The sequence below is a fragment of the Homo sapiens genome, chromosome 5 (assembly GCF_000001405.40).
Source record: "Homo sapiens chromosome 5, GRCh38.p14 Primary Assembly".
NCBI classification, from domain to species: domain Eukaryota; kingdom Metazoa; phylum Chordata; class Mammalia; order Primates; family Hominidae; genus Homo; species Homo sapiens.
This window is the reverse complement of record NC_000005.10, coordinates 371,183-393,540: the sequence shown is the minus strand read 5'-3', so window position 1 is coordinate 393,540 and position 22,358 is coordinate 371,183. Positions and strand designations below refer to the sequence as shown.

The 22,358-nt window shown below is 53.1% G+C and overlaps 1 protein-coding gene and 1 long non-coding RNA gene across 4 annotated transcripts in view, besides 6 other annotated features; both read right to left on the bottom strand.

Moving 5' to 3' along the window:
- PDCD6-AHRR (PDCD6-AHRR readthrough (NMD candidate)) overlaps positions 1-22,358 on the bottom strand; it is a 166,640-nt gene that overhangs the window by 44,745 nt on the left and 99,537 nt on the right. For both annotated transcript variants that reach the window (NR_165159.2, NR_165163.2), the window contains exon 6: positions 16,825-16,931. This is a non-coding gene — a long non-coding RNA (PDCD6-AHRR readthrough (NMD candidate)). The remainder of the gene's footprint in view (positions 1-16,824; positions 16,932-22,358) is intronic.
- AHRR (aryl hydrocarbon receptor repressor) overlaps positions 1-22,358 on the bottom strand; it is a 116,572-nt gene that overhangs the window by 44,745 nt on the left and 49,469 nt on the right. For both annotated transcript variants that reach the window (NM_001377236.1, NM_001377239.1), the window contains exon 4: positions 16,825-16,931. In NM_001377236.1, coding sequence (NP_001364165.1) covers positions 16,825-16,931 — 107 coding nt within the window. The remainder of the gene's footprint in view (positions 1-16,824; positions 16,932-22,358) is intronic.
- Positions 619-958: an enhancer, noted in NCBI's record as "active region_22281". NCBI's record gives its function as "activates an Ori minimal core promoter by ATAC-STARR-seq in GM12878 lymphoblastoid cells {active_cell/tissue: GM12878}" and the evidence as "EXISTENCE:reporter gene assay evidence [ECO:0000049][PMID:35858748]".
- Positions 19,178-19,317: a silencer, noted in NCBI's record as "silent region_15870". NCBI's record gives its function as "represses an Ori minimal core promoter by ATAC-STARR-seq in GM12878 lymphoblastoid cells {active_cell/tissue: GM12878}" and the evidence as "EXISTENCE:reporter gene assay evidence [ECO:0000049][PMID:35858748]".
- Positions 19,368-19,827: a silencer, noted in NCBI's record as "silent region_15869". NCBI's record gives its function as "represses an Ori minimal core promoter by ATAC-STARR-seq in GM12878 lymphoblastoid cells {active_cell/tissue: GM12878}" and the evidence as "EXISTENCE:reporter gene assay evidence [ECO:0000049][PMID:35858748]".
- Positions 20,108-20,187: a silencer, noted in NCBI's record as "silent region_15868". NCBI's record gives its function as "represses an Ori minimal core promoter by ATAC-STARR-seq in GM12878 lymphoblastoid cells {active_cell/tissue: GM12878}" and the evidence as "EXISTENCE:reporter gene assay evidence [ECO:0000049][PMID:35858748]".
- Positions 20,200-20,830: an enhancer, noted in NCBI's record as "H3K27ac-H3K4me1 hESC enhancer chr5:372826-373456 (GRCh37/hg19 assembly coordinates)". NCBI's record gives its function as "activates a minimal SCP1, AML or CMV promoter by ChIP-STARR-seq in naive H9 embryonic stem cells {active_cell/tissue: H9 hESC(naive)}" and the evidence as "EXISTENCE:reporter gene assay evidence [ECO:0000049][PMID:30033119]".
- Positions 21,618-21,677: an enhancer, noted in NCBI's record as "active region_22280". NCBI's record gives its function as "activates an Ori minimal core promoter by ATAC-STARR-seq in GM12878 lymphoblastoid cells {active_cell/tissue: GM12878}" and the evidence as "EXISTENCE:reporter gene assay evidence [ECO:0000049][PMID:35858748]".

The following is a 22,358-nucleotide window of genomic DNA, read 5'->3' as shown; positions in this document are numbered from 1 at the left end:
GTGGCCCTGCAGACACTGGGACAGGCTTCAGCCTGGAGCTCTGCGTGCAGCCTGGCTACCGTCCACGCACGAAGACACAGCAGTGTTCTCCCACTCGTGGAGGTGCCCAGAAGGTTTCACAGCAAGGCCCACAGCAGACTGCTAGAGGAACACTCGGGAGGAGGAAGGATCGGTTAGTGAGCGACGTGATCGGGTGCCCTGGGCTGGATGAGACACGTAACGTTAGGTGCAAAGACAAGAATCTGTGACATCGGGATTAAGCTTCAGACACAGTCAACGTGCTGCCAACGTGGGGAGGGCCGGAGGACGCGTCTGTGCCGGCACAGGCCCTGCTGGGGGAACATCACCGCAGAAGAGCCTGAGAAACAGCAAATCAACCTGAAAGCTCTCATTTCAAAGGCATCCCCATGAGAACAAAAGCAGAATGTGCACCTTCAGTTCAAGAAAGCTCAATTTATCTAACAGAGGGTTAGGGGAGGAAAAAACCCAAAGGATGTGCAGTGAATGGAAAATACAAAATAGGATGACAGAAATCAGCTCCTAAAGAATCACAAGAAGTAGGTGGGCCCCAGTGAAAGACGGCGCTTGGTGTGGGGGGAGATCCCTTGACCCGTCACCTGCAAGAGGCACCTACACCGAGAAGGAAACGCAGAAAATGAAGGCATGGGGGAGACAGTCCAAGCAGCCAAGAACCAAAGTAAGCCTGGGGCGGCCACGGTAAGGCCTGAGGCAGTCGCGGTAAGGCCTGATGAAATGACGTAATGGGCAAGAAGAGTCGACGTGAAATGAGCCAGGTCTGAAGAGTCACACAGCATGCAAGCCTCCACCGAAACTCAGCCGTTGTCCCTAAAACCAGCCTTCCCGCCACATCACTTCCTGCTGCTTTGAGCGACTGCTTTGAGCCCTTCTCACCGGCGGTTTGGGCATTTTCCTCTGTCTTGCTAAGTCACACGCTTACATAACGAGTCACTGTTGGGTTTCCCCAGCTTCAGACACCGTCTTTAGGCCTGGCTGTGGACGCCGCGTCTGCACCTGCCACATCTGCACCCACCTCGCCCTGCGCCCGTGCACACTCTGGCCCTGCCTCGCCCTGCGCCTGCCTCGCCCTGCACCCGTGTGTTCGTGCACGCTCTGGCCCTGCCTCACCCTGCGCCCTCCTCGCCCTGCGCCCGTGCACGCTCTGGCCCTGCCTCGCCCTGCGCCCTCCTCGCCCTGCGCCCGTGCACGCTCTGGCCCTGCCTCGCCCTGCGCCCTCCTCGCCCTGCGCCCGTGCACGCTCTGGCCCTGCCTCGCCCTGCGCCCTCATCGCCCTGCGCCCGTGCACGCTCTGGCCCTGCCTCGCCCTGCGCCCTCCTCGCCCTGCGCCCGTGCACGCTCTGGCCCTGCCTCGCCCTGCGCCCTCCTCGCCCTGCGTCCGTGCACGCTCTGGCCCTGCCTCGCCCTGCGCCTGCCTCGCCCTGCACCCGTGTGTTCGTGCACGCTCTGGCCCTGCCTCACCCTGCGCCCTCCTCGCCCTGCGCCCGTGCACGCTCTGGCCCTGCCTCGCCCTGCGCCCTCCTCGCCCTGCGTCCGTGCACGCTCTGGCCCTGCCTCGCCCTGCGCCTGCCTCGCCCTGCACCCGTGTGTTCGTGCACGCTCTGGCCCTGCCTCACCCTGCGCCCTCCTCGCCCTGCGCCCGTGCACGCTCTGGCCCTGCCTCACCCTGCGCCCTCCTCGCCCTGTGTCCGTGCACGCTCTGGCCCTGCCTCGCCCTGCGCCCTCCTCGCCCTGCCCCCGTGCACGCTCTGGCCCTGCCTCGCCCTGCGCCCTCCTCGCCCTGCCCCCATGCACGCTCTGGCCCTGCCTCACCCTGCGCCCTCCTCGCCCTGCCCCCATGCACGCTCTGGCCCTGCCTCACCCTGCGCCCTCCTCGCCCTGTGTCCGTGCACGCTCTGGCCCTGCCTCGCCCTGCGCCCTCCTCGCCCTGCCCCCGTGCACGCTCTGGCCCTGCCTCGCCCTGCGCCCTCCTCGCCCTGCCCCCATGCACGCTCTGGCCCTGCCTCACCCTGCGCCCGCCTCGCCCTGCCCCCGTGCACGCTCTGGCCCTGCCTCGCCCTGCGCCCGCCTCGCCCTGCCCCCGTGCACGCTCTGGCCCTGCCTCGCCCTGCGCCCTCCTCGCCCTGCGCCCATGCACGCTCTGGCCCTGCCTCGCCCTGCGCCCGCCTCGCCCTGCGCCCGTGCACGCTCTGGCCCACCTTCCTAATCTGGCTGTGTCATGACTGCCCTCAGCTCCCCCCGCAGAGCTCCTGTCACCCAGGTGTGTGCAGCCTCTGAATCCTCCACTCTGCCTGAGCAGCCCTGTTGGCCTGGAGTTGCTTGCATCTTTGCTGACTTAGTTTTCCCAGGTACTCACTCACACCACCGCTGATGGAGCCCCCAAGTCTCAGTTGAATGCACCTTCCCTGCACTGGTTCCTGTCCATCCCAGCCTCTCTGGGGCCTCTCCCGTCTGTCTGAGGATGTTCTGCCTGGGTGGTAGTTCCCATCTCTGCCACTGCCTCCTGGAGGGGCTCCCATCCCCACCCAGACCCCTTCTGTGGCTGGTTCTGGTGGAGAAGCCCTCCAGGGGCTTTCCGAGAAACAACTTGAAAGAAGAAAACCTCAGACCCTGCCCCCGGGTGTGCGTGAACTCCAGGTTGGAAGGCGTTTGTGCGTTTCCTCCCGGCCTCCTGCATCCAGGTCTCTGTCTCTGGATCATTTCCATGAAACCCGCCCCTCCTCTCTGGGAGCATTTAGGATCTTCTCCTTGTCCACGAGGGTGTGGAATCTCACAGAGATCCCAGCAGGAACTTCCAACCCGGAAACTCATGCCCTGGGCTCTGGGAAGCCAGCTCAACCTCCCCTTGAAGACTCCCTGCCCTCCGATCTTCCTGGAGCTCTGACCCCCGGCGTCTCTCAGGCTCTGCTCATTTTCCTGACTTTATTATTTCCACCTCTTTTTCCTTTACTCATGGAAAGACCTCTTCAGCGTTAACGTCAAATGCTTCTCCGGGATCGTTAGGGCTTTTGCTCTCATGCTTTTAATTGTTGAGCCGTTTTCATGTCTGAATTTTCTTTCTGCAGCGACTGATTTTCATTTGGTCGGTGCGGTGCTTTCACTGGTCTCCGAGGATCCTGATGACAGCTGCCTTTGTCTTTCTTTTAAGAAATTTTTTTATTTTAATGCTTGTGGGTACACAGTAGGTGTATATATTTATGGCGTGTCTGAGATGTTTTGATGCAGGCGTGTGATGCATAACGGTCACATGGAGGATGGGGTGTCCATCCCTCAGCACTTACCCTTTGTGTTACAAGCAATCCAATCACACTCTTCGTTATTTTTAAATGTACGATTAAGTTACCGTTGACTGCAGTCCCCGCGTTGTGCCACAGATGCCGGGCCTCTGTCTTTTCTTCATTCCGTGTGTTTCTGTCCTTTCCGGCCTCTGTCTTTTCTTCGTCCCGCGCATCTTTGTCCTTTCTGGCCTCTGTCTTTCCTTTCCTTTCCTGTCCTGTCCTGTCTGCATTCTGCGCATCACTGTCCTTTCCAGCCTCTGTCCTGTCTCCCCTCCCCCTCCCTCCCTTCCCCTCCCCCTCCCCCTCCCTCCCTTCCCCTCCCCCCACCCTTTCCTTTCCTGCCTCTGTCTTTTCTTCATTCTGTGCATCTCTGTTCCCTCCAGCTCGTCTTCTCAGGTTGGGTCTCACTCCTGTCTTTCACGGTGGCCTCTTTCCTTAAGAACCCAGCAATGCTGGCGCAGGTGCCAGAGCGGGCCTGTGCCGTGTGTCCTGGGGGCCGCCATATCTGCGCCCTGGTCCTTTCTCTGGGCCGTCAGACCCCCCAGAGGCCTTGTGGTGGAGGCGTGCAGTGCTCTGACGCTGGTCTGGGGGAAGGGCCCGGGCTCGGTGTCCAGGGCTCCCAGCTGCCACCTCTGCAGGGCCGAGGAAGAGCCCCTCGAGCTTTTCCACAGAATGGGGGGACCTGGGTGGCTAAGGGCTCCTCGACTGTTCAGCAGCATCTGAAGCACGTCCAGCTGCATCACGCATTGGGATTTCCGGCTACGCAGCACGTGGCTCCCTCGCGTTGAATGTGGCTTGATGTTGGTGTCGTTGATTCACTTTGAGAATGTGATCCGAGTCGCTCGGGCACCGGTGGCCACTGTGCCACTTCCCAGCGATCTCTCTGGTTTTCAGGGCTTTACGTGGACTCACGCACTGTGGATGCTGCCTGGTTCACAGCCTCTTCCCTTAAAGTTTGTTCCTTCAGCCGCATCTGCTGGAGCCTCGGCTCACTGTCCAGCCCCAGCTCACCCCCCTCCCTCACCCCCGCCTTCGACACCCCCACAACCCCACTGGGCCCCCGGGCTCCCCTCCGCCAGGGCATCGTCAGCATGGCCACCTGGCTCATGGGGCGGCTGGTCCCTGCCGCAGATGGTCTCCCTGAGGAGAGAGAATCGTGCCCAGACTGTGACCATGTGGCTCATGGGGCGTCTGGCCCAGCAGGGCCCCCAGGACAGCCCTGAGCCCCAGCCAGCCCTCCCGTTCAGGTGACAACTGCTTGGGGCCCTTTGCTCTTGGGTCCTCACTCGGCTCCATCTTCTCTCCTGTGCGAGGCACCGGCGGAAACCCTCCGCACCTGCTGCTTTTGTCATGAGCATTGTGTCCTCAGGCATCTGGCCCAGCCACACTGTCCTCCTGCCAGCTTCCTGTTTCCATCCAGCCAGCGGGACGGAACCTCTGCCCAGTGGCTTTGAGGTTTGAAACTGAAGTCCCCCGAGATGCTCTTCAGGGCCCAGAGGGGTCACAGCTTAGTCCTCGTCCTGGCCAATGGGAGGACGGTGCCCCTGGCTCTGACACCCCCGCTCCTCATGTCACCAAGCCCCATGCCAGGCTGTGCCCCTCCAGTCGGCTCGGCCCCTCAGGGCTGCCTGGCATGAAGCAGCCTCGGCTCAGGGCCACCGCAGACGCCCTGGTTTGGAAGAGACCTGCCGGGTGTCCAAACCCCACTCCTCCAGGCTCCCCCTGGGAGAAAAGCAGCAGTGGGGACCCCGGCTCCCTCCTTACAAGGGTGTGACAGATACAACCTCACAGCACCTCAGTTTCCCCAAGCATAAACAGAGGTAATGGCAGGTACCCTCCCCATAGCCATCGATGGATGGCTGCGTGAGTCCATGAGCTTCACAGTCTTGGGGCAGCCCCAGGCGCAGTCGCACTGAGCCCTGTGTACGACAGCAGTTCAGGGCTTGGGTTCGGGACGGGGGGAGGCCTGAGTTTCTGCCCCAACCCTGAGCTCTTCCAACCTGAGCTTTCCCCTGTCTGGTACGATAGAGCTGTGAGGTAAGCACAGTGGTACTGGGCTGAGTGGTGTCCTCCAAAATTCATTTCCTTCCAAACCCATGAATGTGACCTTCCTGTATTGGGACATAGGACAGTGGCGGATGTCACGAAGCTGAGATGAGGTCACACTGGATTAGGGTGGGCCCTAAATCCAGTATGACTGCTGTCCTTACAAGAGGGAGATTTGTACCCAGACACACTGACAGAGATGCAGATTCACAAGAAGAACATTCCAGAAGCGAGGGGGTGTGGAGTACACTCTCCCCAAGAGCCTTTGTCAAGGGGCCCGTCCTGCCAACACCTCGCTTGCAGCCCATCGGCGCTGGTTTTGGCTCCTGGCCTCCAGGCTGTGAAGAATAACCCCTGTTGTTCGAGCCACACAGTTTGCAGTCATTCATTAAGGCTGCCCCAGGAAGCTGACATGGTGTCGCCAAGTTCCGGCAGGTACAGCGTATGGACACACGATCACACTCAGAAAACACGAGCGTCCACCACCATCACCACTATGTGTTACCGGTATTACCACTGCTGCTGTCAGAAGCCACAGAAGAGGCTGAGGAGGTCAGGCCCCTGTCCCAGGACCTCCAACAGTGCCTCATCCCTCAGCAGACAGGGTGAAAGGCAGGTGGAGGGACGTGCTGCATGGCTGTTGTGTGCCTGTTGCGTGGCTGCTGTGGCAAAGGTTTGTGTGCACATAAGCACCTGGAGAGAAAATCCGTCCCTGTGGATGGAGGACCCCCACAATGGGGTCCCTGCTGTACAAGAAGAGGGCAATCCTCATTATTTTTTCCTCCCTTTCTCTCACCACTTTGTCCTGGCAGCAAGCCTGTTTGCACAGAACCATGCAGCAGGAATGGCAGCTATGACCCCAAGAGAAACATCGTCTTTCTCATCAGAAGACCAGGAGTCATCCCCAGGAGGCAGCAGGGTGGGGGACGTAAGCAGAGGAGAGAGCAGGAGACAGGACCCCGCTTCTGTGTACGAACTGACACGTGTCCTGGCTCATCCCAAGCTGCAGGTGTGGAACACACCAGAGACACAGCGTAAAGCACTTTGAGCTGCACTGACGTGAACCTGTGCCCAAGGCCCCAAGGACTGCCTGTCAGGGGCAGACCCACCCCGTGCAGCAGAGGCTTTGACAATCAAACGGATATGGAAACAAGGCTCCCAGAAGGAGAGAGAACCTGCGAGCTGAGCCTCACTACTGGGCTGCCTGTGACTAAGACAAAACAAAAAATAATCCACATTCCCTAGATGGTGCCTCAGGACCCAGAGCCTCAGGGCACAGGTGAAAAGTGTCCGGGATGAAGTCTGGGTTAGTTCCAGGACCCAGAGCCTCAGGGCACAGGTGAAAAGTGTCCGGGATGAAGTCTGGGTTAGTTCCAGGACCCAGAGCCTCAGGGCACAGGTGAAAAGTGTCCGGGATGACGTCTGGGTTAGCTCCCTGTTACTGCTGTAGCACATTACCACACACTCATGGCTTCCAACAACACAAACACATTCCCTACAGACCCGTGGCTGAAGCCTGGAATGATCTCCGTGGGCTAAAGCGAGGAGCCCCATGGCTGTGCTCCAGAATCTGCAGGCCTAGGGGGAACCATCTTGCTGCTTTTCCCAGCTTCAAGAGGCTGCCTGCGCTCCACACCTTGGCTCAGGGCCAAGGCCAGCTATGCAGCATCACTCTGACCCTTCTTCTGTTGCCACATCTCTTTCTCTGGCCCAGTGAGAAAGATTCTCTACTTTTAAGGATTCTTGTGATTACGGTGAACCTGCTTGGATAATCTCCCCACCTCAAGACCTGCTTAATCACATCTGCATGATCCCTTTTACCACGTAAAGTGACATATTCACAGACTCTGGGAATCAGCATGTGAACAGCTTTGGGCCCATTATCCTGTCTATCACACAATCCTAAATTACTGTACATCCTAAGAACCAGAATATGGGACTAATATTCAAGGGAAAAGATGATAAACAGAGAATAAACTCCGAAATGACACAGATGATATAATGATAGATAAGGATCTTAAACAGCCAATATAACCATACTCCATGAGGGAAAGGTAAAGACTCTTGAAATTTAAAAAAAAGCTAAAAAGTCCCAGCAGATACACAGACACTGAAAAAAAGAATGAAATTGAAATTTTAGAACTGAGAAATAAAATACATGAAGTAAACATTTCATTGGATGAGTTTAATAGCAAATGGAGGCGACAGAGAAAAGAATCAGTGAAGTTAAAGGCAGTTCAACAGAAATTATCTAGTCTGAGAAAGAAAACATTGAAAAAAATGAACACAGCCTCAGAGGTCTGTGAGGAAATATTAAAAAGTCTAACATTTTCATCAACTGAGTCTCTGAAATGGAGGGGAAGAAAAAGATGGGTGCCATAAAGAATAATTTCCCAAATTTGGTGAAATAAATGAACAGGTTCAAGAAGATCAGCGAACCCTAAACAGGAAAATCTCTAATATCTAAGCTCAGATACATCATAATTAAGCATCAAAATTAAAATTAAAGATAAAGAAATAGTCATAAAGGTAACCAGAGAAAAATGACACATAACACACAGGGAACAATAATTTGAATGACTGTGAATTTCTCATCAGAAACCACAGAGGCCAGAAGATAGTGGACAACAAATTTAAAGTGCTAGACAAAAAATAACTACCCAGAATTCTATACCCAGCAAAAGTATTCACCACAAATGGAGGCGAAGCTGGGCATGGTGGTTTATACCTGTAATCCTAGCACTTTGGGAGGCTGAGGCAGGAGAACTGCTTCAGGTCAGGAGTTTATGACTGGCCTGGGCAACATAGCAACCCTGTATCTCTACAGAAAATTTAAAAAGTAGCTGAGCATGGTGGTGTGCACCTGTAGTCCTAATTATTTGGGAGGCTGAGGCAAAAGGATTTCTTGAGTCCAAGAGTTCAAGGTTACAGTAAGGTATGATCATGCCACTGCACTCCAGCCTGGGCAACAGGTTGAGACCCTGTCTCAAAAGAAAAAAAAAAACGATAAATAAAAGACACATCACCAGCAGACCTGCACCATAAGAAGTGCTAAAGAGAGTTTTGTTTGTTTGTTTGTTTTTGTTTTTTCTCACTGCAATGTCCACCTCCCGGGTACAAGCAATTCTCCTGCCTCAGCCTCCTGAGTAGCTGGGATTACAGGCATGTGCCACCACGCCCGGATAATTTTTGTATTTTTAGTAGAGACAGGGTTTCACTATGTTGGCCAGGCTGATCTTGAACTCCTGACCTTGTGATCCGCCTGCCTCAGCCTCCCAAAGTGCTGGGATAACAGGCATGAGCCACCGCGCCCGGCCTAAAGAGAGTTCTTAAACAGAACTGATACCACAGGGAAATGCAAAACCTCAGGAACCAAAGGAGAACAACAGACGTGGCAAGTATCTGGGAAAATATGTATACTATTTTAAACTCAAGTTCTTTAAAATATTTATGACTATATTGTCTGGGCCGGGTGCGGTGGCTGTAATCCCAGCACTTTGCAAGGCCTAGGCAGGCAGATCACCTGAGGTCAGGGGTTCAAGACCAGCCTGGCAAACATGGTGAAACCCCATCTACTAAAAATATGAAAGTTAGCTGGGCATGGTGGTGCACGCCTGTAATCCCAGCCACTCGGGAGACTGAGGCAGGAGAATCGCTTGAACCCAGGAGGTGGAGGTTGCAGTGAATCGAGATCATGCCATTGCACTCCAGTCTGGGTGATAAGAGCAAAACTCCATCTCAAAAAAATTATATTGTCTGGAGGGTTTAATGTATGTAGATATAATACATATGACAAATATAAAGCAAAAGTGTAAGAGGATTTATGTGGCTTAAGGTTTTGAGGTTTTACTTGAAGTAGTAAAATTTCAACTTTGTAAAGTAGGATTTATATATTATAATCCTTACAACAACTACTAAAAAATAAGAAAATATACACCCAAAAGCGAATAGATAAGCTAAAATGTAATACCAATACATATTCCCATAATCAAAGAGAGGGCAGAAAAGATGAAAGAGGAGAACAAAAAATAGAAAAATAATAAAGCAGTAGACTTAAATCCAATAATATCAATGATTACCAAGGGAAACTATCAGGAATAAGGAGGCATTTTACATACAGGGTCAACATACATGACACATGACCCAAACACACCAATTAGAAGACAGAGATTGTCAGACTTGATTGAAAAAAAATCAAGGCCCAACTTACATACTGCCAACAAAACACACACTTTTAATATAATGACATAAATTGATTAAAAGTAAAAAGATGGAGTAAGATATTCCAAGCAAACATTAATCAAAAGAAAGCTGGGGGCTGGGTGTGGTGGCTCACACCTGTAATCTCAACACTTTGGGAGGCCGGGGGTGGGAGGACAGCTTGAGGCCAAGAGTTCTAGACTATCCTGAGCAACGAGGGACATCCCCATCTCTATAAAAAAGAATTTTAATTAGCTGGGTATGGTGGCACATGCTTGTAGTCCCAGCTACTCAAGAAGCTGAAGCGGGAGGATCTCTTGAGCTCAGGAGTTCAAGGTTACAGTGAGCTATGATCACATTGCTGCACTTCAGCCTGGGTGACAGAGCAAGACCCTGTCTGTATTAAAAAAAAAAAAAGAAAAGAAAGCTGGAATGCTATATTAGTACCAGACAAAGTGGATTTCAGAACAAGAGAAACTACCAGGAATAAGGAGGCATTTTACATACAGGGTCAATTCATGAAGAAAACACAGTAATATCCTAAATGAGTATGTACCCTAAAACAGAATTCCAAAATACATAATGCAAAATCTGAAAGGACCAAAAAGAGAAATATAAAAATCCACAATTGTACTTTAAGATGTTGACATTCTTCTCTCAGGTTGAGACTAGATAGGAAATCAAGAATAACCTGAACACAACAAGTCAACTGGATATAATTAATGTTTACAGAACAACTCACACAATGACAGTGGAATACCCCTATTTTCCCAGTGCAGTGAACAGTCATCAAGACAGACCATATTAAAATTGTCTTTAACAAATATAAAAGAATAGAAATCATTAAAAAGTATATTCTCTGACCATAACAAAATTGAGCCAGAATTCAATAGCATCAGGATACCTGGAAAATGTCCAAATATTTGTAAGTTAAACAACATACTTCTAAATAACACAAGTTGAAGAGAAAGTTCCAAGTAAAATTAGAAACCATTTTGAACTAAATGAAAATGAAAACGGAGCATACCAAAATTTGTGTAATACAGGTAAAGGTGCTTAAAGAAGCTCATAGCATTAAATGCTTATATTACAGAGTAAGAATGGTTAGTTAAAAAAATCAGTGATTTAAACTTCCATCTTAAGTATCTAAAGAAAAATAAAATATTTAAAACTAGAGCAAGTAGAAGGAAATAAATTACAAACAAGAAGAGTGGAAATTAATGAAATGGAAAATAGACAAATAGACAAATTCAATAATCTAAGCTTCCACCTTAAAACTCTAGAAAAAGAAGAGGAAATTAAATCCAAACCAAGCAAAGAAAAGAAAATAATAAAGATAAGAACAGGTACCAATAAAATTGGAAACAGAAAATAAAACCAATAGCTGCTTCTTTGAAAAAAAATCAGTAAAATTGATAAGCCTGTAACTCAACTGACCAAGAAAAAGTGAGAAGACACAAATTACCAATGAAATGAAAGAGGAGACATCACCATGGAACCTACAGACATTAAAAGATCAACATGGTAATGTCATGAACAACTCTGATATCACAAATTCAATAAAGTAGATGAAATGAACCAATTCCTTGAAAGACACAAACTAGTACAATTCACCTAAGAAAAACTTCAACAGTCCAAGGAAATTGAATTCATGGTTTAAAAATCTTCTAACAAAGAAATCTCCCAGACAAGATGTTTTAACTAATGAATTCTACCAAACATTTCAAGAGAAAATAATACCAATTCTACACAATGTCTTCCAGAAAACAGAAGAGAAGGGAATACCCTCAATTAATTTTAAGAAGCCAGCGTTACCATGATATTCAAACCCATCAAAATCAAACAAAAACATTACAAGAAAACCACAAAAAGTATTTCTCATGAACATAGGCATAAAAGTCCCCACAGAGTATTAGCAAATTGAATTGGGCAAAATAGAAATGAGATCTATCTTAAGAATGCAAGGTTAGTTCAACATTTTAAAATCAATGTAATGTACAACATTGACAGTCTAAAGAAGAAAAACCATAATCATCTCAATAAATGCAGAAAAAGTATTTTACAAGATTTAACATCCATTCACAATAAGAGCTCTCAGAAAACAAGGAATAAAAGGGAAATTTCTTAATCTGATATGAGGCATTTACAAAACAAACAAAAAAAAGCAGGCTGGGTACGGTGGCTCACGCCTGTAATCCCAGCACTTTGGGAGGCCAAGGCAGGTGGATCACGAGGTCAGGAGTTCGAGACCAGCCTGGCCAACATGGTGAAACCCCGTCTCTACTAAAAATACAAAAAGTTAGCTGGGCATGGTGGTGGATGCCTGTAATCCCAGCTACTTGGGAGGCTGAGGCAGAGAATTGCTTGATCCCGGGAGGCAGAGATTGCAGTGAACCGAGATTGCACCACTGCACTCCAGCCTGGGTGACAGAGTGAGGCTCTGTCTCAAAAAAAAAAAAAAAAAAAAAAAAAAAGCAAACCTAAGCTAATATATTTAATGTTGAAAGACTAAAGGTCTCCCCCTAAAATCAGGAACAAGGCAGATAGCCTCTTTGACCACTCCTAATCTATACTGTACTGGACATCCTAGAAGTGCAATAAGGAAGGAAAATGAGGCACATAGATTGAAAAAGTAAATATAAAACCAACTCTATTCTCAGACAACAATTATAATCTATGTGATGGTTCATTTCAAGTGTCGATTGGATTGGATTGAGAGATGCCTAGACAGCTGGTGGAGAATTGTTTCTGAGAGTGTTTCCAGAGGAGATTGGCATGTGATTCGGTGGACTGAGAGAGGAAGAATCAGCCTTAATGTGGGTCAGTTCCACTGGCTGGAGGCCCAGCTGGGAAAAACAGGCACAAGAAGAGGAGAATTTGCTTTCTGTTCTCTCTTTCTCTCCCTTCCAGGGAATGATGCCTTTTTCTCCTCTTGCCCTTGGACATCAGAATCCAGGTTCCTCAGCTCTTAGACTCCAGGACTTGCACCAGTGGCCTCCTGGGGGCTCTCAGGCCTTTGGCCTTGAGCTAGGAGCTGCATCATCAGCTTCTCTAGTTCTGGGGCTTCCAGACTTGGACTGAGCCACACTACCAGCTTCTCTGGTTCTCCAGCTTGCAGACAGCCTATTGTGAAACTTGTCTGTCTCTGTGATCATGTAAGCCAATTCCTCTAATAAGGCTCCTCACATATAACCTATTGGTTTTGTATCTCTGGAGACTCCTGACTAATAAAATCTATGTTTTAAAAAATCCCATGGAATCTATTTTAAAAAGCTCCCATGACTACTAATGAGTTTAGCAAGGTCATAGGATACAAAGTCAACCTAGAAAAATAAATTGTACTTCTATATACTAGGAATGAACTAAAAATTGAAATTAAAAAAGTCTCATTTACATTAAGAACAAAAATATAAAACTTAAACATGAATCTAACATAAATATGCAGGATATGTATGCTGAAAACTACAAAACACCGATGAACATAATTAAAGAAAACCTAAATAGAGACACATACCATGTTCATGGATTGGGAGAGTCAGTATTGTTCAAATGCCAATGCTCCCCAAATTGATTTACTGATATGTCACAATCTCAATCAAAATCCCAGCAGGGATTTTTGTAGATATCGGTCAATAAGCTAATTCTAAAATTTATATGGAAAAAAAAGAACTAGAATAGCCAGAACAATTCTGAGGAAGAATAAAATTGAAAGATTCACATTATTTGATATCAAGTCTTATTTTAAAGCTATAGTAGGTAAGATAATGTGGTATTGTTAAAAGGTTAAAAATACAGATATATAGAACAGAATACAGAGTCCAGAAACAGATCCACAAAAATACAGCCAATTGATTTTTCACAAAGGTATAAACGCCATTCAGTATAAAAAGATAGTCTTTCTAATACATGGTGCTGAGACATCTGGATAGTCACATGCAAAAACAATAAATCTTGACCCCTACCTCACACATCTCATACCAAAGTTAACAAAAAGTGGATCATAGACCAGAATGTAACATATGAAACTATACAACTTTAGAAGAAAGCATAAAAGAAAAATCTTTGTAACCTTAGGTTAGGTAATGAGATGTGGCAACAAAATCAATCTACAAAAAGAGAAATTGATAAATTAAACTTAATCAAAATGGAATACTTTCACTATCTGTAATATCCTGTCAAAAGAATAAAAAGACAAGCCACAGACTACGAGAAAATATTTATAAATCATACATATGAGAAAGGACATGTTTCCAGAATATATAAAGAGATCTCTAAACTGAATAGTAAACAAGCAAATGAGCTGGTTTTCTTAATGCACAAAAGATCTGAAAGACCATTCACCAAAGATGACACACGGATGCAAATAACCACATGAAAAGATATGCAGCATTGTTAGTCACAGGGAAATCCAAACTAAAACCCTAACAAGATTCCAGTATTAAAATGGCTTTGAAAAAAGTAATACCAAGTGCAAACCCAAAGATGCTGAGCAACTGAAACACTCATTCACTGCTGGGGGATAAGAGTTAAAAACACGCTTACTATTCATGAAACGAAGACCTACGCTCATAGAAACACCTGTATGTGAACGTCTATTGACTGCAGCTCCATTCATAAACACCAAAACCTAAAAACAACCCAAATATCCCTCAACAGTTGAATGACACATGGGGTTGGTCCATACCTCATCAATAACAAGAAACAAACCAGCGGCCCGCAGCACCGTGGATGAGCCCAAATCCTAACCGGCAGCAACAACAAGAAACCAGCTGGTGACCCGCAGCACCGTGAGCAAATCTCAACAGCACTGTGCTGACTGAAGCTGGCCTCCAAAGGCCATGCGTGTGACTCCGTGTGGAAGACATCCAGAGAAAGGCAAGGGACAGGCTGCAGGGATAGAGCACACATCGGCCGTGGCTGGGGGCAGGGGGCTGTGACTGCAAACAGCAGCAGAGGAGAAATGTTTGGGGAGGGGATGGCTCTGAATCTTCATGACGGTGGCAGTCACATCCCACTGAATGCCGAAAAGAATGAACTTTAGTGTATGTAAATTTTTAAATAAGTGTTAGAAAATGTATCCTGCAGTAACCATACACTTGAATTCTAGCTGAACTTAAGCAGTCAGTGAGACAGCATCCTAGCCCGAGACAGGCCACATCCGTGGCTCCAGTGAGTCATGCTAAACCCAACAGCCCTGTAGCCCACCTAAAAGACAGAATGAAAACCTAGAAGCTCTGACTCGTATTGTGCAGGGAGCTCAGGGCCTCCTCTGTGTGCTCACATGTCTTTGGAGCCCTCCTCCTTGTTTCCCTCTCCAGTCTCCCACCTCTCCCCACTCCTCCATCCTCCCACTCTTAGCACCTGCACCAAGATGTGCACCAGGGGAAGCCACGGGCTGTGGCCCATCTGTCTTGGCTTCCCTGGGGAAGGCCGGAGGCTTGGAGGACAAGCCAGTGAACTCAGGACAAAGAAACACCAGGTCCAGACTACACTCTCAGGGGTCATTTCTAGATCATTACTAAAGCCTCTCTGAACGTGTGGAGCATCTTAAATAAATAAATAAACAGAAGCGCTGGGTCCAGCTCAGCCCCAAAGGGCACCTGGTGGCTCCAAGCCTTACTTCCTCACCTTAAATCAACAGACCATGGCCACAGCACTCTGAAGCCTGTGCCGGCTCAAGGCGGTTTATGGATTTAGGGTGCCCTGCCATAAACCTCCCCTTTTTTTCAGTTTATTGTGAAGAGATTGAAGATTAGAAATAAAAGCTGGGATTTGCTGCTGTTGTTGCTTGCTTTGCTTATTTTGCCCTGTTGGAATATTTTTAAGCTTCAAAAAGAGCATATAACCCCTTTCACTGCCCTGGCAATCAGTGAGGAACCCTCACCATACAACCTACCAGATGCAATCTAAGCAAACTTCCAGAAATTTCCGTGGGCCAGAGGACATGAACCAGATGCAGTGGACTGAGACTTCGGGAACTGCTCAACCTCCCCCAGAACAGAGTGGGTGTGACCAGCACTCTGGCCAGGTAGGGGAGTCAGGCCAGGCAGCAGGAGGGCCACAGTGTCAGGAGCAGACGGGCGGACCCTGACCCCCAGCCTCCATGCCTCTTCCAAAGTCTTCTTGGAGAGTCCCCCTGAAGGTAGCTCCAAAATATCCCACGCTGCTGGGAGCAGGGTGGGAAGTCCAGCAGCAGGGAACCAGGCCCAGGCCTCCCTCCCGCAGGCTCCAGGCTTCCCAGGCCCCAGGAGCTGGGACCCATTCACTAGCGGGGACAGAGTAGAGCGAGCTGGGGGTTGTGAACTGACCTGGAGACACACAGGAGGATCTGGGGCAGGGGGTTGAGCAGCCCCTCCCAGGCACTGGGGGTGCACAGCTCCATGGGAGACTAGTGGCTGCTGGCTGTGGGGCAGCCTGCCACCAGGGCCCCAGTACCCTCTCATCTGGAGCGGGTTGGCTGGTGCCCTCCTGCCCCACCCAGGGGTCCTGAGTTCCGGCTGGAGCCCACCCTGTTACCCAGGAAATGTCATGTTGTCCCCGCCTCCTCCCTGCAAGCCCACTCAACCCCATCCTGGGACCACCCAGGGCCCATGTCTCTCCAGCCACTGGTGGAGGCAGCAACCCCCTTCATCTTCAAAATGGCGAATGGATTCACCCCGGAGGCTCCATGCCACCATCTTATCTTGTTTAGGAAAATGGTCCACAGTCTCCTCTCCCAGAGGGGTAACAGGCCCCGCGTTACAGCACAGGACAACTCAGCACTTCAGAGTCGCAGGGATGGGGGAGATGGGGTGAAAAGCCCCCTCACCACAGAGCTTCCTGCCCAGGCCCACAGCTTCCAGGGTGTCACACAGGCCACCCCAAGATTGAAACCACACCAGGGAAGCCCAGTGTAGACTTTGCCAAATCCTTCATTTTGGGGGAAAAAAGGCTTAATTTTGTACAAGGTTCTCTCACCGACAAGCAAAAGCAGACGGTGCAGAATGAGGATGATTTCCTGATGTAGCACACAAGGCCGAGAGCTCTCGGGCTGCCTTCTCTGTCCCAGCCTACGAGGCTCACACCCAAGGCTGACCCCGACCCAGGGACACCCTTCTTCAACAGATTTTGGAGCCTACGCTTCCTGACAGTTATAAACCTCACAACCTAAGGGCCTCCTGGGTGAGGGCCTGAACATGCGTGACACGGAGTATGACTGAGCCTGAACACGCGTGACACGGAGAACCAAGTGTCAAGTGTTCGAGGTACCAAGGGTGGCACTCACCTCCAACAGCAGCCTTCCCTCCAGCACGGCAGACCCTGCAAGAGGACAGCTGTCTCCGGGCGAGGGGGCGCCGGCCGCAGGCTGCCGTGAGCTCTGCTCCTGCACGACTGTCAGAGAAGAAAAGACACATTAGGCACCCCCAACCCTTGGCCTGGCCACTCTTCTTCATTCACATCTTTCCTGTGTTTCCCCGCGTTCACCCCACGGTTCTCACCTGACATCTGGCCTGGGCTGCACTGACCCCTCTGCAGGCCACGCAGCATTCCACAGCCCTGAGAGTCCAAGGTGGGGCAGGAGGAGCTGAGACACAGGCCTCAGATCAGCCAGGAGAGGCAGGGGGACACCAGGACATGGAGGCAGAGCCTGGCCTGAGGACGCCCCCACACCCGCTCTGCTCTGCAGAAACTGCTCTCTGTCCCCTCCTGCCCAACCCCCCAGGGCCCCCACCCAGTCTTGGGACAAAGTCTGGCTTCCTGCCAGATCCCCCTGAAGCCACCCAGGAGGTCCCTACGGCCCCTCCCCTGAGACCCACGGCACTGTTGGGCTGCACCCCTTTGAGGGCTGGGCCAAGGTCCCCTGCGTCCACCTGGGTCTTCTGTGCCCTGCACACCCGCATCGCCTCTCCCTCCTGGAACCCACGCAGCCCCCTCCCTAGTGAGAAGCAGGCCAGGCCCCACGCCCCCAGGGGCCGCACAGAACACCGCAGGGCAGGAAAAGGCAGGTCCAGGACAGTCGCCAGTGCTACCCCCTTCCCAGTGACTGCGCACAGCCCCCAAGGACACTCCCACTCCTGAGGATGGTGCATTCTCCATTTTTGGGTGCAGAAGGGGACAGATGACACGTTCACCTTCCAGACTGACCAAGGGCTGAGTTCCGGACCCAGCACAGGTGCTCACTGCCCACTCAGTGTCCTCATGGGCACTGGAGACATGGGAGGGACACCCCTCCCCAGCTTCTGAGAGGACTGAGGGGCAAGGGTGTCCCAGCAAGCAGCTGGCCCCAGTGCGTGGACCAAAGCGCACCCCAGCAAGGCCGGGGGGGCATCTGCTGCTCCCGCGTCTCCCGGATCCTCAGCTGAAGTCACAGGTGGTGTCCGCTCAGGCAGATGCTACCTTGCCACCAGTTCTGACCTTGAGATGGCATAAAAACTGTCATCACGCATGGCACCTTAAGGCCAGCACACCGTCCTTCACGGTGGGCAGCCTGTGCCGGGGTCCCGGCGTGGCACAGCCCAGGCGGCCATGCTTCACCGGATCTGCCCACTTCCGCGGGTTAGGGAGACACAGCCCTTTCCAAAGCAGCCCCCCACCACCCTCACTCCCCACTGGGCCGAGCTTAGACTCCTGGCTGCCTCCACCCCACTGCTCAGCAAGAGCCCGACCCAGACAGAAAATCAAGTTTGAGGGGCACCGCCTCATCGAAAAGCGCACGTGTCTATTTGTAGCCCATCACAGTCCCAAAATGATGTGAGGCTGCTGGATATTTTAAGAACTAGAATAACCACTTGAATAAAAGCATAATGTCTCACTCAGGGTGGGCTGGACTCCCAGTCTCCAGCCCCAGGGGCACTGTGTCTGTCACCTGAGAGTGCTCTGAAATGTGTGTGGCCTGAACCTCATTGTGGGTCACTGGCTCCTGCTCCCAGGAATCCTCCTGGACTTCCAGGAAGGCATCCACCTGCTAGTCAAAGTGGTTCACACTTTGCTCTGAGCTCTCCTCACCCCACAGTCCCTGGGCCGGCAGCCCCCAGACCCACAGGACCAGCGTCTGTGGTGTCCCCAGGCCGTGGTGAGCACAGGTGGGGTCCGGACGCTGGGTTAACCTGCTCCCCATCAGGCCAGGACCCCGGAACCGGCTGCTGGACTGGGCTAGCACCCCACCCTCCACCAGAAAGGCCATACTGGGAGCCATTGATTCAGAATCTGAGGTACCAGCTGCAGGGATGCTGACGAGCTAAGGTGTCCGTGGGGGGCGAGGGCCCGAGTGAGGAGGTGAGGCAGCCAGAAGCCCGGAGACGGTGGCACCGGGTGGCCTTGGGACTCGGCCTCTCTGTTCCCCTCCCTCCCTGGTCTCTGAGCCCTCATTTCTCCCTCAACTCCCATAGCTGGTAAAAACTGGATGTTTGTTCACTGCACTAAATGTAACAAAAACTGCCCCATTTCTTCTGCCACAAAGCAGGACTATTCCGAGGAAGCATGAACAGTCCACCGAGGTGGGGGCATCCCTTGGGCAAGGGCGGCCTCTTCCCACCTGGAAACCCCAGCATCCTAGCCTCCTGCCCTCCAGGCTCAGCCAGAGACGCCACAGTTCACACAATACGCGTGTTCAGAAAGCTGAAGGTTTTTAACAGTGAAAATCAAGATCTTTCTCCCAAGTGCAGACCCAGGAGAAGCCAGGGCAAGAGGCGCCCCGGGTGTCCCAGCAGCTGACCCCGAGCCCGAGGAGAGACCCGGGCAGGAGCGGCCCCACACAGACGCTGCTGGGGTCGCCCCGTGAGACCCCCGTGCTGGCCCTGGGCGCTCCCCGCCGAGGTCCGCGGGCTGGGGCAGCGCGGGTGGGGGCACACGCCTGGGTCACCCGCACACAGACCGACCACCCAGGCGGCCGGTGCAGCCAAGCCCCATTGCAGGGGTCGCTCCCGCAGCGGAGCCGACCCCGTCCCACCCGCAATGCGCCCCGCGGACCCGGCAGCCCCGGCCTTTTCCCCGAGAAGCGCGTAGGTGCGGCGGCAGGGGCGCGCCCCTCCCGGCATCGCGTGCCCCCCGCGGGCGCCCGCCCACTTCCCCCCTACTTCCCCCGCAGCCGCCGGCGCCGTCACGCGATGGGGCCAGCCAGGCCTCGCGTGCGAGCAGCGCTCCCGCCCCCGCCCGCCCGGGCAGGGCGCCAGGAGCCCCAGGAGCGCGGGGAGCGCCAGGCGCGTGGCGGGGAATGGGGCTCGGGGTCCGCGCGGGCGCTCCGGGTGCACACGGGGCGGGCGGACCCGGCCACGGCCTCCCCAGGTCCCCCCGCCCTCCCTGAGCCTGGGGGTCCCACCTGAGGGTCCGCCCCGGGAGGGAGCCCCCATCCCCCACCTCTCCAGCCCCAGTCTCCTCCTCTGTGATGTGGAGAGAGACCCCCCCTCCGCCCAGCCACCGCAGTTGCCCATGGTGAGTGGATGGGGAGGAAGGGAGCTGGGAGCGCGGTGTCCTTCCTGGGCATTGGTGAGAAAGGTGGGCCATCACCGTGGCCCTTACAAGGCACAGCTGGGCCAGCAGGAGGGGGCCACAGGCCCAGGGCGGGAGGAGCTCTGTGCCTCCAAGACCGCAGAGGCCAACCTGTCCCCTGCCTCCCAGCCACCGCCCGGCCTGCTGGTCCCGCAGGGTCTGCAGAGAGGGGCCCTGCCAGGACCACTCCCAGGGCCCACCCCTCGGGCAATGAGAGGCTGGAAGGCTGCGTGTCAGATGAGACCCAGCCGGGTGCAGGGCAGGGCCAGGGCCGCGGGGCAGGGCTGCCCTCTCAGAGGTGAACAGTCCCCACGGCTGGGCCTGAACCCGGATCTGTAGCCTGGGCAACCCCTGTGTCCTGCCAGCACTCTGCCAACCGCGCAGAACCTCAGCCACCTTGGAGAGTCTCAGGGCCATTACCAGCCGTCCGCCCACGGCTGCAGAGTTCACTGCAACCAAGAAGGGGCTCATTTGGAACAGCGAGAATGTGAAGTCAGCACCAAGGCCTCGGGCGACCCTGTGCCCACAGCAAGGGCTGGAGCAGAGTGGCTCCCTTGGGGGCTCAGGCTTCCCATGGGGTCCTGCTAAGGGCCCTCTGTTTCTTCACACAGAGGAGACTCAGAGCAAGGTGTCACCGGGAACCCAAGGCCACCCCATCTGGCCCCCACCACGAGCACCTGGGCCTGTGACTCGGTCTGACCCACAGTCCCTGGTGGAGGAGGAGCCAGAAGGCAGGTCCAGCTGTGCGTCTGGGTGATGCCGTGATGCCCAGAAACGAAGCCACATTGCTCCCAGTCCCCTGAAGCCAATTCCCTGGTAGGGGCGGGGGAGGCGGTGCAGACGGAGGGTGGGAGGTCAGCCCTGCCATTGGAGATCACGCACCCCTGCCACTGGAGATCACGCACCCCAGCCCTGTGCAGCGACTGCGGCTGAAGTTTCCTGCTCTGTGCAGGGCTGAGTAAGGTCCATTTCAGGTCTTCAGTGCTGGACAGGGAGCTGGGCCCAGGGGGAGCTGAAAAGAAGGCGAGATGAAGAAACAGAAGAAGCAGAACAGGCAAAGCGAGCAGAAGAGGACGTCCCTTTGTCCTTCACCCAAACCGCAGCCTGGACCTGGTTCTCAGGCCTCCTGTGACCCATCCCAGGGTGCACAGGGCCCAGGCTGGATTTGGGGCAGGTGACAGTCAGGATCCCAGCACCTTGGCTGGGAAGGAGGACATGCCTCCATGAGGCCCCAGCCCACAGCTCCACAGTCCCCTCTGTGCAGTCAGGGGAGCTGGGCCCAGAAGCCAAGGGATGGATCAGCAGGGGTGGCCCCGCCAGCCCACCCCAGCCCTGGGGGAGGAGGGAAGGCACTGAGGGGCTGTGTGCTGAGCAGCACCACTGCTTCCTATCCAGGAAGCCTGGAGGAGGAGCTCAACCAGCAGAAACCCTGCTGCTTCCTTCCTGTGAGGGGAGAAGGTGGTAAGGAATGTGGGTGCTTCATGAAGGTCCCTATTGGCAGGACTGCCTGCCTCTCTGCAGAGCCCTCGGCGGGGCCTGAGTGGTGCAAGCAGCCAGATGAGAGGAAGGCCCAGGATCCCTTTCTTCTCCATCGTTTTCACTCAGCCCTTAACAGGCACATCGACCCTAAGCATCCTCGTTGGAAGGGACAGAACTCCACAGACAGGGGCGTAAGGGAGAGAGGAGCAGGCGGCCCCCAAGCTGACTCGGTTTAGGACTCCCTCTAGGGAATCATCCTAAGTAAAGCTGTCTGGCAGTCTGCAGCTCCTGGGAGCATTTCACCATAGAGGGCTTCAACAGCGACCACGGGAGTCGGTTCCACAGGCCTGGAAGGACAGTCAGAGCCACCTTGTGAGTCCAGGACTGGTCAGCCCAGGACAGGTGGGCCCAGGACAGGTGGGTCTAGGACAGGTGGGCCCAGATGCTCAGTCCTACTATGGGACACACAGGGGCTTACCCGTGCATGAGGCAGCCTGCCAGCCCCTGCTGCACCTGCCCAGGGAATGGGACGCAGGATTCCTGTCACCTGCAAGCTCATCACTTCAGAGCCCCAGAGACTCACTCAGAAAGCCTAGAGCAGGGCTGGGCTGAAATCCTGACTCAGATGGGAAGCTACTGTTGGCAGTCACAGCCGGCCCTCGAACTAATGAGGACACAGGCCTAGTGTGCTGACCGATGTCACACATCAACCACCTGCAGCACTGGGTGCTGCGATTAAACATCGTGCCTGCTGTGTTGGGAGGTGTTTCCAGATGGCGGTCCCATTTGAATCCGTGGGCTCGGTGAAGCCAGTGGTCTTCCCCAGTGTGGCTGGGCAGTCCATGGGGGGCT